Source organism: Homo sapiens, chromosome 13 (genome assembly GCF_000001405.40).
Source record: "Homo sapiens chromosome 13, GRCh38.p14 Primary Assembly".
NCBI classification, from domain to species: Eukaryota; Metazoa; Chordata; class Mammalia; order Primates; family Hominidae; genus Homo; species Homo sapiens.
Genome location: NC_000013.11, coordinates 46,819,861 through 46,835,730, shown reverse-complemented (window position 1 = coordinate 46,835,730; position 15,870 = coordinate 46,819,861). Strand labels below are relative to the sequence as shown.

General features: G+C 37.0%; 1 protein-coding gene across 3 annotated transcripts in view; it reads left to right on the top strand.

Annotated features, from left to right (window-relative positions):
- HTR2A (5-hydroxytryptamine receptor 2A) overlaps positions 1 to 4,185 on the top strand; it is a 66,537-nt gene extending 62,352 nt beyond the window's left edge. For all 3 annotated transcript variants that reach the window (NM_001378924.1, NM_001165947.5, NM_000621.5), the window contains one exon: positions 92 to 4,185. In NM_001378924.1, the coding sequence (NP_001365853.1) occupies positions 92 to 894 (803 nt within the window). In that variant the 3' untranslated portion in view covers positions 895 to 4,185. The remainder of the gene's footprint in view (positions 1 to 91) is intronic.

The following is a 15,870-nucleotide window of genomic DNA, read 5'->3' as shown; positions in this document are numbered from 1 at the left end:
TCTTTTCAATAGCCAATATTATGTGATGATGCTCTTGCCTTCATATACTTAATTCCTTAATAATCATGTTTCATTTTCTGTTCAACTCCAGGTATATCCATGCCAATACCAGTCTTTGGGCTACAGGACGATTCGAAGGTCTTTAAGGAGGGGAGTTGCTTACTCGCCGATGATAACTTTGTCCTGATCGGCTCTTTTGTGTCATTTTTCATTCCCTTAACCATCATGGTGATCACCTACTTTCTAACTATCAAGTCACTCCAGAAAGAAGCTACTTTGTGTGTAAGTGATCTTGGCACACGGGCCAAATTAGCTTCTTTCAGCTTCCTCCCTCAGAGTTCTTTGTCTTCAGAAAAGCTCTTCCAGCGGTCGATCCATAGGGAGCCAGGGTCCTACACAGGCAGGAGGACTATGCAGTCCATCAGCAATGAGCAAAAGGCATGCAAGGTGCTGGGCATCGTCTTCTTCCTGTTTGTGGTGATGTGGTGCCCTTTCTTCATCACAAACATCATGGCCGTCATCTGCAAAGAGTCCTGCAATGAGGATGTCATTGGGGCCCTGCTCAATGTGTTTGTTTGGATCGGTTATCTCTCTTCAGCAGTCAACCCACTAGTCTACACACTGTTCAACAAGACCTATAGGTCAGCCTTTTCACGGTATATTCAGTGTCAGTACAAGGAAAACAAAAAACCATTGCAGTTAATTTTAGTGAACACAATACCGGCTTTGGCCTACAAGTCTAGCCAACTTCAAATGGGACAAAAAAAGAATTCAAAGCAAGATGCCAAGACAACAGATAATGACTGCTCAATGGTTGCTCTAGGAAAGCAGCATTCTGAAGAGGCTTCTAAAGACAATAGCGACGGAGTGAATGAAAAGGTGAGCTGTGTGTGATAGGCTAGTTGCCGTGGCAACTGTGGAAGGCACACTGAGCAAGTTTTCACCTATCTGGAAAAAAAAAAATATGAGATTGGAAAAAATTAGACAAGTCTAGTGGAACCAACGATCATATCTGTATGCCTCATTTTATTCTGTCAATGAAAAGCGGGGTTCAATGCTACAAAATGTGTGCTTGGAAAATGTTCTGACAGCATTTCAGCTGTGAGCTTTCTGATACTTATTTATAACATTGTAAATGATATGTCTTTAAAATGATTCACTTTTATTGTATAATTATGAAGCCCTAAGTAAATCTAAATTAACTTCTATTTTCAAGTGGAAACCTTGCTGCTATGCTGTTCATTGATGACATGGGATTGAGTTGGTTACCTATTGCTGTAAATAAAAATAGCTATAAATAGTGAAAATTTTATTGAATATAATGGCCTCTTAAAAATTATCTTTAAAACTTACTATGGTATATATTTTGAAAGGAGAAAAAAAAAGCCACTAAGGTCAGTGTTATAAAATCTGTATTGCTAAGATAATTAAATGAAATACTTGACAACATTTTTCATTCCTGCTTTTTCATAGATACCATTTTGAAATATTCACAAGGTTGCTGGCATTTGCTGCATTTCAAGTTAATTCTCAGAAGTGAAAAAGACTTCAAATGTTATTCAATAACTATTGCTGCTTTCTCTTCTACTTCTTGTGCTTTACTCTGAATTTCCAGTGTGGTCTTGTTTAATATTTGTTCCTCTAGGTAAACTAGCAAAAGGATGATTTAACATTACCAAATGCCTTTCTAGCAATTGCTTCTCTAAAACAGCACTATCGAGGTATTTGGTAACTTGCTGTGAAATGACTGCATCATGCATGCACTCTTTTGAGCAGTAAATGTATATTGATGTAACTGTGTCAGGATTGAGGATGAACTCAGGTTTCCGGCTACTGACAGTGGTAGAGTCCTAGGACATCTCTGTAAAAAGCAGGTGACTTTCCTATGACACTCATCAGGTAAACTGATGCTTTCAGATCCATCGGTTTATACTATTTATTAAAACCATTCTGCTTGGTTCCACAATCATCTATTGAGTGTACATTTATGTGTGAAGCAAATTTCTAGATATGAGAAATATAAAAATAATTAAAACAAAATCCTTGCCTTCAAACGAAATGGCTCGGCCAGGCACGGAGGCTCGTGCATGTAATCCTAGCACTTTGGGAGGCTGAGATGGGAGGATCACTTGAGGCCAAGAGTTTGAGACCAACCTGGGTAACAAAGTGAGACCTCCCTGTCTCTACAAAAAAAATCAAAAAATTATCTGATCCTTGTGGCACACAACTGTGGTCCCAGCTACAGGGGAGGCTGAGACGCAAGGATCACTTGAGCCCAGAAGCTCAAGGCTGCAGTGAGCCAAGTTCACACCACTGCCATTTCCTCCTGGGCAACAGAGTGAGACCCTATCACAAAAAAAAAGAAAGAAAAAAAGAAAATGACTAAACTGAAATGGTCTTAGTCAAAAAATATATACAGACTTATTTTTAGAATCATTTCAACTTATTTCCTTCTTACCTGGTTCAGAAACAAGTTTGTTTCAACTGTGAGAGTAGTTTTAAAAATAAGTTTTCCTGATTGGTTACCAATAAACACCAAACAAATAAAGGAGGGGGAAAATATCACTTGAGGCTTAACATTGCAATTAATTTAGAAATACGCACCTCAATCTCAAGCCAGTTTATAACTACCATAGTTTTGAGCAAAATTTTTCTTCTATTTCTCCAAAAACTCACTCATTTCAGTATTACTCATTGACACTGGGCTCCCTAATAGAAAAGCAGATATTATAATATTTCATTGAAATGGTTACTAAAGAGAAAAAGAGATTAACAACAGTTAATCCACCTTGATATTATAACACTCAAGGTTAAATTGCATGTTGTTATTAGAATCAATGTTATATATATGATTACAATGCTGAAGCATTTCTATTGAATGAGAAATAGTGTTTGCCCTAAACCTTTGGGAAAAAAATACAGATTTGAAAACTAAAGAATGTGGGAAGTGTCATTGTGTAATTTGGAAATGCATAAAATTCTCATTATGTCCTCATAGATATGTTGAAAGATGGTTCACTGTTTCAAAGATAGAATGTATAATATGCTGCTAGTACCAAGGCTGCATTTGAACTGAACTACTCCTTATGATATACCATACTAACTGATGAAAATATAAATGTTAAAATGTCTCCACTCTAATGTATTTTGCCTTCACTTGTAACTCTGCACATTTCATTATATATTAGGGAAAAGATTACAGATTCTACCCCCATATACTCAATCTTGATCAGAATGTACATTAATGTTGCCTGATAGATGTCTTTTGACTACCTATATATTACAAATGTGTATGTGTTTTTTTCTTCCATAAGTATCTATTCAAGTGTATACTGTATAGGCAAATGTGTAGCTGTATATATGTACAGACATGTTCTCATGCACTTTATTCAATATTTATATATTTATATGGACGAAAAGCAAGTCAATGAAAACACTCAGTATATACACATGTGTGCATGTTTGTATCATGTTTATTTAAATGTGAATTCATGTTCTAATATTTCTATGACCTTCCATTGCTGCAAAGCAGATTAAAGTGTAACAAAAATATCAGCTCTTTAAATAAACTGGAAATTAATCTAATTTTGTGGAAGAACTTTAAGACAAGTCTATGAGGATGGCGAAAACAATGGTCCACATATATAGTTTCTTGATCCTAAATAAAATGGTACCTTTGGGCCCTTTGTTTAGTCTGGCAATTTTCTGACTACTATGGCTTTTTAAACAGACTCACACCTAAGTGAAACACAGTTGTCAAATGATTTATGGATCTGTGATTAAAGGATTCACTTTTAATGAATACTATTAAAACGGAGTAACAAACCTTGCTCTACTTTAAGTTGAATGATAGATTCCTCTATATTCAAAAAAAAGCAATTAACTGCCATAATTAGGGAAAACTGTTTAAAGCATACTGCATTTACTTGGCCACAGCGCCATCTCATGGTAATTTTTTAAAGTGCTACCGTAGCCAAATTGAACTAAGTCACTGTACTGCTTTCAGCAAAGGGTGCTCCTCCCATTTGTGCATCAATGAGACATATTTATAAAGTGCTAAATTATTCTGTGCCATATGTAACAAATACAGTGAAGATTATTTTATGAACTTATTTTAATCAAGGCGATGCTAAAAGTTTTCAAGAAAGGATAAATAACTGTAAATAAAGTAGACTCAAAAATGAATGAATTTTGTGTGAGTCCATAGCTGTGTCTACTAAACGGAATTACCCCAAATCTTCCAGGTCATCAGACTCAGAACTCCAGGTATCATCCTGATATTCGAGAGCAAAAAAGCCTGTGCTTCTGGAAGTCAGCCATGTCACAGAGCTAGGATCCATCCAGTTGGATTAGCTTTATCGCCATGATCCAGTTTCTAGTTATCTGCAGTAGAAATATGCTCCATGTTTGATCACTATGTCTGGTTCCACGAAGCCTAAGAACATAGAGAACAACTTCAGTGCCCTAAGAGATGTGCACAGGTGCGTGTGGTGTACACCAGGACATGCACACAGGTGTGCACACGCACAGATGCATTAACATATGCACACACACTCTCTCTCTTTCACAGGAGATCATTTCAGGAATTAAAGTAAACCAAGGAGGCATGGTGTCATTTAACAGTTACCCTCATTCATCATTTCATCTTTAACTGCAGGGAAAGTATATTGAGTGCCTACTGTGTGCCAAGCATTAAGCTGGTTGCTTTCCTTGCTTCACCAAATGGAATTTTCACAACAATCTGACAAGGTAGAATTATTTTTCTTTTTTACAGATGAAGAAACAGAGATTCAGAGTAGTTAGTAACATATTTAAAGTCACACTGCTGGCAAGAAAATTGGCAAGTTTAAGCCTGGGTCATCTGACTCCAAAGCATAAAATATTTTCCCAACCTCATGCAGTGCAGGGGAAAGATCACCTGTCAAAACCACAATAGGAGAGTTCCCATGTTGGCTTCTCCATTCACTGCTTATGTGAGTTGGAACCAGTCTCTTAACAACTCTGGGCCTTGATTTCACTGTCTGTAAAATGGAGCTGCTGGTACCCATCCTGGCTAACTGACAGAGTAATTTAGATAAGATCATGCCTATGGCTGTGCTTGATAACTTGTAAAACACCATGTAAATGTAATCAGTGTGTTAGTAAAAAGGAACAACTCCAAAGCCTCTGTAAATTATTAGCCATCAGAGCAAATTCTAGCCAAAACTGTGGGATAGGCAATATTATAATTCAGCAGCTTCTGCTACTCTCTTGGTGTTTCTCTTTTTCAAAAAATTTACTTCTGCTTTGTCCCCACCTTAATGCAGATCTCCCTTCTTTGGTGCTCTCTCTTATGACTTACATAAAAACTTTCCATCCCATATGCCATTCCCTTGGGTGTCAACTCTCTGGAAGACTACTACTAAGTAACTGAAGCTGATATGCCATTGTGTATCATTGACATCTCTTCAGCAGCCCACCATGATGAAAACCCAAAAGGCAGAAATCAAAGGAAAAATGTTAGGCATCAAGGAGACAAGTGAGAAGAAAATTTGGGGACAAGAAATGTTTTCTTGGTATCCCTGAAATGACCAACAACAACAACAAAAAAACAAGTATCTTCAAACACTTCATAACTTATATAAAGTTTTATAACTTAATATTGAATTTAATCCACAATAATAATGATGATTTTGAAAGAAACATTCAAGACTTTGAAGATTTCATTCTAAACTAAGAACATTAATGATGCATTTGTCCCAGCAAATATGCAATGAGACAAGACTTCTTTGTGAATTTCTGATTATTTTGGCATGCGGCTTGCTAAAACAAAATTTTTAAAAATTTTTTCCTTAATGGTTTACACACCAGTCTTAACTCTTTCTTTTTTTTTTTTTTTCTTTTGAGGTGGAGTCCTGCTGTATCACCCAGGCTGGAGTGCAATGGTGTGATCTCAGCTCACTGTGACCTCCGCCTCCCAGGGTTCAAGCAATTCTCCTGCCTCAGCCTCCTTAGTAGCAGGGATTACAGGTGCGCACCACCACGCCTGGCTAATTTTTTGTATTTTTAGTAGAGGTGGGGTTTCACCATGTTGGTCAGGCTGGTCTTGAACTCCTGACCTTGTGATCCCCTCGCCTCGGCCTCCCAAAGTGCTGGGATTACAGGCGTGAGCCACCATGCCCGGCCCAACTCTGACCTTCTTTTTTGATATTAACACCAGTATGTCCATCTGAGCCAGCGTTTTATGGGAAGTCTTCATACCCAATTGGAACCTTTTTTCATGTGGCCCAGTCACAGCAGAAGACAGACAGGAAACCGAGGTCCAGCCTGCTGCTGTTGTCTGACCTTGGACGAATCTGAGTTTTTCCTCCTTGAAGCATATAATAAGGGACTTAGGGTCAATTATCTCAGCAAGGAGTCTCTTCTATGTCTATGCTTATCTGAACACTAGAGAGTCCAGACAAGGCCTTGTTGAACCAAGGCACTGCTTCAGGTGCCAAGGATAATCTGGAATGCAGAACCCTCATGTTTTCTTAAATTCTCTAGATGGATTTCAAATAAATGACAACTTTATCTTTTATATGGGATGAGATAAATCAAATTGCTAAGTATCTAAGAAGTTTCTAAGATATGAGCCCAGGAGGCAAATATCAACATAAATGTTTGTACATTGGCATTTTCCTCACAGTTGGGCTCTCTTCTGCAGTTTCATAGCTACTACAATATTTTGGATTGGCCTTTTTAATAACCCTCAGGCTTCCTGAAGAACAAGTGCTCCTACTATTTGAGTTCAATTTCCCTGAAGGGTTAAAATTAAAAAGCCCAGATAGATTTAGAATTCATGGCGCAGAGAAGATCTCTTTTTTAAAAGCTAGATTTACATTGACAGTATGCCAAGGTCACTTAAGTTTTCATTTATAATTGAGATTATGAGACCTTAAAAAAGTATTTATTCTGTCTTCTAGAAAAACAGCACAATTTGTACTTCCTGTCCTACACTTATTTCAGATATTGAAAAGTAATATGCCATTATTCAGATAATCTTGTCTTAGTTAGGGTGACCCTAAGAGCAGAGTTAAGACTCAGGTGCAGGTTATTTATGCAGGAGATGCTCTGAGGGAGCCAACAGCATTAGAGAGGGAAGAAGTAAAAGTTTATTTAACTGTGTGTTCAGTGTGTGACATAAGCAAAAACTATACTCAAATTGGGTTGAGCAACTAGTGCTGCAAACTCATTTATTCTCTTAATAGGTTTGCTAGTGAGGGTCTGCTATGTGTATGTTTTATGTAAGACCACTAAGTGTGGGAAGTCTAGGGATGGAATTACTCTTTTAAAAAACTTGAATAAGATACTGGGTGGGGAGATTATTCTACCTCTTTACAAAATGTTTGTTTATTTCATTGAGCCTACCAACTTTGTCACAAATTAGCCTAAGTAATATAGGATAACTTAACACGCCTACCCAGAGATGCCATGCTGCATATGATAAGATATCCCTCAAGGCATTGCCACCACCCGATGCTGATGTTTCAGCCACTTTAGACACTGGTGAAAAGCAAAGTTGTGTGGGCCAATGGCAAAAGTGTTAAGAATATAGAATTTTAAAATTAGTTTTATGAGGAAAAAATGAAAATTAGATAGAATGTTCAATATCACTATCTCCAGGCTCCATTGTTAAAGTTCTGCATTCTAAGACCTAGGATCACAATGGGGTGTATAAAGAAGAATATCTAAAAGATGGGAATTAGTCAACATAGATAAGCAATCCAAGAAGAATTTTTAAGAAGACGAAAAAGGAAATGAAAAAAATAAACAATAGTAAATATAAAAACAAATGTGTTCAGCATGTACACATGTAATGATGTATCTCTCTGATACTCTGAAAAGGGGATACATTTATTAGTCTTTAATTTCTAGAGACAAGATGGTGGGGTTTTTTCCAAATTAGCAGAAAAATAGGAAATGTTATTCACAAGTGATTACAAGTATGACAAAATTAAAACAACTAAACATTTCCAAGACTGAAGAACAAGAAGATTGATTTGCATGAAAATGTAACACTACATTTATTCCTCTAATATAATCACCAGAGAACTTGACTATGATTAATTATTCCTACACTTCTCTAAAATAGAATGTGGAAGCTATGACACACTTTTTGTCCAGCTCCTCTCCACCAGATAGACCTAAGTCTGAAAACCTATTGGAACCACTCATAAAGAAAAAAAATCTTCTCTAACTTAGAATTATTATCACTGTCATGATGCAAATATCAACTTACTTCAATCTATATGAAGCATAATAAATAAAATATTGAAACTATTAGTACATTTATATAACATTCTGCTTTGAGAAATTTGCTTTAATAACTTTGAAAGACAAAATAACTATTTCTGCCTTAAATGAGCATATTTTTTATTTGACTTAAATACCAGCTTCTTTTGCTAATAGCTTTGAGTGGTCCTACTTGGTTCTAAGAATTTGAGCAAAGTACAGCTAGCCACTTGTAGTAGGCAATAATGTATATATAAAGCATAAACCAGCAATGTTTTCACATTTTTTGAAACAGCGAGATTAAATCCAGAAACATCCAACCTATTTCTCTTACTACAACAAGGAAACCAGAAGGAATGTCAAAGGAAGACACTGAAGTTGATACTTATTGAGCAACAATTTTGTGCTAATTTCACACATTTAATCACAATAATGTGTCTATGTCTCATAGTAACCATAGAGGAAACTGAGTCTCAAAGGTAAATTTGACCAATTCCACCAAGCTAAGGAGAAGAATCGGAACTCAAGCATGACTATATAAATGATAAGCTTTTACTGTTTCTAATTTCCACTGTGCTAAAGATCAGAAAATATTTTCTATAAGGAGCCAAATAGTACATGTTTTAGGTTCTGTTGTGGTGTGAAAACAGCCATAGACAATAAGCAAATGAGTGAATGTGACTATGTTCCAATAAAACTTTATTTACAAAAACAAACTCTGGGTCAGATTTGAGCCTGGACTATATAGTTAGCTAATCCCTGGACACTACCATCCAACAACAGCAACAATAATTACCACAAACACAACAACCACAACAACATATACTACTACACTACTACTACCATCACATCTATTTATTTGAGCCCTTAGTAAATGTCAAGTATTATGTTAGATATTTTAATATATCCTTACAATACCAGCACTATACAGTGGATATTATCATCATCTCCATGTTCTATATAAGGAAACTAGAGATTAACCTATCCAAGCTCACACATAGTAAGTAATAGAGCTGGGTTTTGAATCAACATCTCTATTCTCAGCCACTTGCTCTATTTCCTCCCTAACCCAAAAGAATGAAAGCATATCTCTATCATGCTTGCATTATACCTGTGACTGTCTTGCCTTAGTTAGAATGAAGAGTGAAGCTTAGCAGAGCTCTAGCTTTGGGAAGGAAATAGTTCCTTCTAAAGCCTTCAACTTACAATGCAGGGTAAATTAGACTTTGCTGAATAAACACAATTTCAACCCATAAGTATAAGTGTTGATAAGTGGTGATCAGCAACATGGTTAATTCTCTAAAGGAAATTCTTGATTTGGTAAGATAGAATCATAACATATTGATTGCTGTCTTTTCTCTTAGCTCACCTTCATGCACAGAGAATGTATGTAACATTAACTTCCTCCTAAATGTAAGGAAGAATGCATAAACTCTATGTCCTTTATATTTGTAGAAGTATGTTCAAAAATAAATTTCTTACATGCCCTTTCTACTTCCTATGCTAATCAATAAAATAATAAATATTGACTGGAAAAATTACTATTTAAAATAAATGTTATAGATATTAATACAAATCAGGGAGATTGAAAAATCTCCAAGTTTCTTCGGAGAACATGGATCTTATTGTCAGAATACACACAGAAATGAGAAAACAGGAATCATTGTTTTGAATCGATGTCAAATAGGCCTCACAGAAGCTCAGAGACACATAACCCACCCCAGACCAAATCAAAGGCTACCGGAGGGATGCAGGCACAAGTTCCTCCATTTTCATCAAAGGCCTGAATCATCCATAGGACCCAGCTACTCTCTCTCAACCTGTTTCACTCTGGGTCTCTTTCACTCATCTTCCCTCTACCAGCTGGTTTCCATTTGGTTTCTTCTTACATATAGCATGTGCTCACTTACAGTCCACCATGACCTCTCTACCTCATGGACTTTCATCTTCTACAGCTGCCACTAATTATATGAACTTCTCTATACTGACTTGTGTAGATTTCTAAGAGAGAGCTGGTTAGGTTGGTCCATGTTCTCCCTACATGGGCAGAGACTTTGTTCTAAGCTCCCCTTATAGTCTACTGACCAGATATGGCCAGATGCCTTTCCCAATCCAATCAGCTGTGGTGGGCTATGCAGAATATTCCCCCAGCTGAATCTCTTGACAGAAGAAGAGTTTTCACACAGAGGGCTAGAGTGTATCCATCACTGGGTCTGAATGCTAATCATACCTTATCTGAAAAGAGAGAAAATCTATTGACTTACTCTTCTGGCAAGGGTAGCCACCTCTTTTAACCAGCACTCCCTTTTCCTACTTTACATTTTTTCCTTCTAATACAGTTATTTCCAATTTCCTATCCACAGGTTGACACTTTAAAGAATATAACCAGAAGTGAGTCAGCCAATTTTCTTTTATAGGGTTATCGGCAAAATAGTTGTTGCAAAACACACACACACACACACACACACATACACACACACATGTAGAAGCTTGAATCTGAAACCCTGGGAAAACAATGGATGGGAGGTGAACCAATCTCAATGATGCTTTTCCAGGGCTTGCCCTGGGAATTGTGATTTGATGACCTCAACAAGCAATCACAGTGCACCATGATTAAAACAGCCACATTATAATCTAATGAAAATTTAACAATTTAGAAAAATCTGCCAAGCCCCAGTGGAGGAGAAAATCATTTAGTAGCTGAAACATTTGTATCACTGGGGCAACAGAGTCCTACAACTCTCGGATCCACCAATGTTATAATTCATAACCATGAGAAGAAAAACATAGGATGACTCCTGTACCTGCAGCCCCCTGGAGGGTGGCCAGATTATGCCCGAGAAGACCATGGATTTAATTCTCTACAAACCAAAACTCTAAGAATAAATGAGGGAATTGGACATTAATAAAAATAAAGGAATAAAATATTTTCCCTTGTAGTACAATGAGAATTAGTTATTTCATATCCCTTAGGTTTGCAACAATAAGAAAAAATCTACGCAATAGAGCTTGGGTACTTTACTTTTAGAGAATGTTACAAAGACAAAGTTCACAGAAAGGACATTATGTGAGGTTGTATTTTCAATCTAATTCTAAAAGATTTAGAAGAATATTTGAAAGAGCATGGCCTTAGGAGTTACATAGACATTACTTCAAATTCTCTATTTAATGTACTGGCTATGTAAGAAAATTACTTAAACTCTATGAGGTACATCTGCTAAATGGAGATAATAATGTCTTGTGGAGTTGTAAGAATTAGAAGTAGTTTATGAAGAGCTTCTCGAATGGTCTGACCTATAATAGAACTTAATATGTGATGGTTATTAACATGACTAGCTAGAGGAAAAAGAAGTAACTGCCTCTCAGTGGGGCCTTCCTGACTATAACCAACAGAAAGCAGGGCCAAAATGAGGACAAAGAGACCTCTAGAGCTAACATGCCTGAAGCAAAACTACAACGTGAGGTCTGGCAAGGTTCTCAAATGAATCTATCCCCATCTCGTTTCTGCCTTGGTGTTCTTATAATAAGGTGGATTATCAAAGGAAAACACAATCCACAAAGACAAACGCTGTATGATCTCACTTATATCTACTCTCTATGCAGATGTCACTACTGCTTAGAGAGTAGATCTTAAGTGTCCTCACCACCCCCGACACACACATACACAGTAACTATGTGTGGTGACTAGTGGGTTAACTAATTCGACTGTGGTAATCATTACACAATATATATGTATAGCAAATCATCTCATCGTACGTCTTGAATACATAAAATTTTTATTTGTCAATTATATCTCAATAAAACTAGAAAAAATAGGAAATGTATTTTGTAACTTTCTAGAAGATTCACAATATATTTTAAGATAAAACTTCTGGGAATTCCTGCAATAAAGAAGCAAGTTTAACTTAAAAAAAAATCAATCACTGTTTTGGGCCCTTTGGCAAGCATGGGTGTAAAAGGGGAGGTCTCCCCTTTTGCTGCCTGGACCTGTTTCTAAAGGTCTATGGGCTCCTTCCCACAAGGGGCCAGGTAAACAGGTCTTTCAGTCCTTCTGGGGTTGTGTCATATCAGAAGGATATGGAGGCTATTGCTTTAACAGAAGTTGGGGGTGATTGCCGCACCCCAAGGTCATCCTGAAACTAGGAAAAGTACAAGGAAGGAACTTTGACAAGTGAGAAAGCACTGCACTCTCCCCATTCTGGGACCCTGAAGGTTTGCAAGGCCTCTACCAGGCTGTCAGTGAACGGCAGAGAACAGAAAATGGGACACCCTGGCAAAAGAGCTCCAGGCCTGAGCCTGACACAGAAGCAGTGAGCCTCCCAGCCTCCTACCACATGAGCACCTCAAGGCTTCTGGACTACAACCTTCAGATTTTTGTAAAGTAAGGGGGTGAGGCCCCTGGCAACAGTGACCACAACGGGACCTTCCACTAACATTTGGAGAGAAAAGGGAAATCAGGCTCAAACTTATTTCATTTGGAAAAACAATTTTTCAGGGTCATTATTTAGAGTAGTAATAAAAACGAAGAATGAAGAAGTTATATTTCCTTTTCAAATCTGTCCTTTGATGATATAATAGATTATCAGTCCTGTCTGCTTGAGCAGAAGGAGGCTGCATTCCATCCCAGTTAAGCCATCCCTGGGCAGAATAATCCCCTTCTAAGCGGAAAGTTTTATACCACTGGCTGACACTGTCTGGGCATCAGCTATCAAGCAATCTTAGCCTTCCAGAAGAGAGCTATATAGAGATATGAGTGAAAAGAGCTTCTGAGTAGCCAAAGCAGTTTTCATCAAGACCCATAGACTCAAGTCTGTCCTTAATACCTCCATAGGCTCTGCTCCAAGGTTCAAGGACGTTAGTAGAAGCAGAGCCTATGGATGTAATAAGCAACAGTATGTTGCCTGCAACTTACAAACTTGAAGTCCCATGTGCCCTGGAGTTGTTGTGAGGATAGGGGGATGAAGTGCTATTAATTACTGTTGTATTGTTTGTCATTGCAAAATAAATTAGAAAATAAGATTGGAAAATGGAGAGGAAACAGGAAATAAAGAACAGCTGAGGTAAGTGACCACCATAATCAAGGTGTAGCCAGTAAAACTACAAAGTAGGGTAGGGGAGTGAAAGAAAAGCACCTTAGGCCTAACAGTTTAATTTTTGGCAACAAGTCTCACATTCTTCAAAGGTCCCCAAAGCTACAATTCTCCATCTTTGGAATCTCTGGAGAATTGGTTTAAAATGCAGATTCCAGCGCCCCCTTCCCAGAGATTCTATTTGGATTCTATCTAGAATTGGCCTCAGGAATTTGAAGTTTTTTTTTTATAAGACCCTAGTGTTTCTGCAACAGTTAGTCCTTGGACCACTTTTCAGGAAGCATGGACCTAAAGGTAGAATTGCACCCCAGTTATTCATTCCTTCAACTAATGTTAATTTAAAATACACCCAGGTACTGAGCAGAATGCTGAGAATTACAGAGATAGCAATGGCAAAGTCATGGTCCCTGCCCTCAGGAAGCCCATAGCCTAGTTGGAAATACAAACAGGTAAATAAAATCTGCAAAAGTGCAAATCTGCAGAAGTGTGATCAATGCTACACTACACAGGCACAAATTTATATATGTGTGTGTATATATGTGTATATATATACACATGCATATATGTGTGTGTATATATACATATACATATATATGTGTGTATGTGTGGGTGTGTGTGTGTGTGTGTGTGTGTATATATATATATATATATATATATATATATGCCACATAGGTAACCCAAAAAAAGAACAAAAGAGAATGATAAATTCTACCTCAACAGGTCTGAGAATCTCTTGTAGGTGAAGAGATCTTGGAGTAGTATCATGAACAACAAATACAAATTCATTAAGCTGACATGAGGGAAAAAGCATTAAGCAATAGGTAAGTCCAGAGGCTGAAAAAGTGAGGACATTCAGTGAACCTAAAGTCTTACATCGAGAGTGAAGAAGAGACAGAAGGCAACAGCGGAAGATAAGGTAGAGCTGTACAGGTAGGGGCTAGATCAAAGACAACCCTAAATTGCAAACTTTCATGTTAGGAATCTCTCCTGTGGTCAATATAAGCCATTAAACAAAATAGTAAAAAAAAAAAAACTGTAATCAGATTTGTACCTTTGATCACTAGGGCCATGGAAAGCATACTGTAAAGGTAAAGGAATTGATGGTGAAGGTGTCAACAGTTGCAAATTTACAGGCCAGGGCCTTTTCTAAAGCAATGGGAGCAGGAGTAGAGAATACAACAATGTTGAAATTGTTTGGTAATATAAAGGATGAATTGGAGATGGGAGAACTGTTGTGTGATGCCCTCTGGAAACTAGTATACAACAGGCACACAATCTTTTATCCTCAATTCCAAAAATCCTTTATCCTCAACTCCAAAGCCAAAAAGTTCTGAAAACTAAAAAAAAATTACTAACTGATTTGGTAGCAAAACCTGACCTGACCTAAAGTAATTTTGACAAAACCTACCCTGAGCTGACAAGAGAATGAGCATAATTTTAATTACCCTACTTGATGTAATTATTTATGTTTCTCTTCAGAAATTCGAAAGTATATGATTCCTGGGAGATGTTCAAGATCTTGCTGGGGATGTTATGAGGAACACATGGTTTGGGGTTCAGATTACCTTCCTACAATCAGAAAAATCTGAATTCACAAACATATCTAGCCCCAAGAGTCTTGGATAGGGGATTGTGGATCTATGAAAAATAAAGTGAAGACACTGACTTTCACTACCCAAGAATGAGAAAGAATAAAGGAGCCACAAGATTCAAGAACATTCAATGGGTGTTTAGACTACACAGTAGGAATGTGCCCATTCAAATTATTATTTTTTTAAAAAATAGTACTCAAATGGGTACTTTACACCTATCCAGAAAATCCACTTGTCCGAACCTCTCAAACCTCTTCAAAACTAGATGAGCAAGGATAAAAACAATAATGCCTCCTGTTGGTGTAGCACTTTAAAGCTTACAAAGCTCTTTCTTAAAATTATTCCATTTAGTCCTCTAAACAACCCTAAGGCATTTTTGTATGCATGTGCTCACAGACTTAGCAAAATCTTAATTTCAAAAAGGCATTCAGTTTATTTTTACATATGTGAAGTTTCAAAAATTGTATTCAATACTAGAAAAGACTAGTGCAATGAAAGGCTTGATATCCTAAGAAAAAGAATCTATAGAAACACATTCAGCCTAATTAGTTCTACTCCCACATCAATGTGAAAAATGTTGAAGTCTATACTGAGTTCACCAAATAATACAGCATTATTGGACTGCTGGAGAAAAAAATAGCAGCCCGTACCTCTCTCTCTTCAAGCACTTTATATGGTTTGATCACTATTTTCATTTCAATCAGTAAACTTTTCTTCCTTCTAAAAAATGCACAATGATCAAAGATAATTGTAATCTATTAACTTCAGTTACATTTACATCTCAATCTCCTGAGTCAATAATAAATTTAATTGTTTCATTCTTCATTGCATTTTTCTTTATAATCCTATATTTATCAGATGGTTCCATGGCACATGGCATTCTCCTTGCTAATTGTAGATACTAAATATTTGTCTGAATTAATCCACATCTCTGA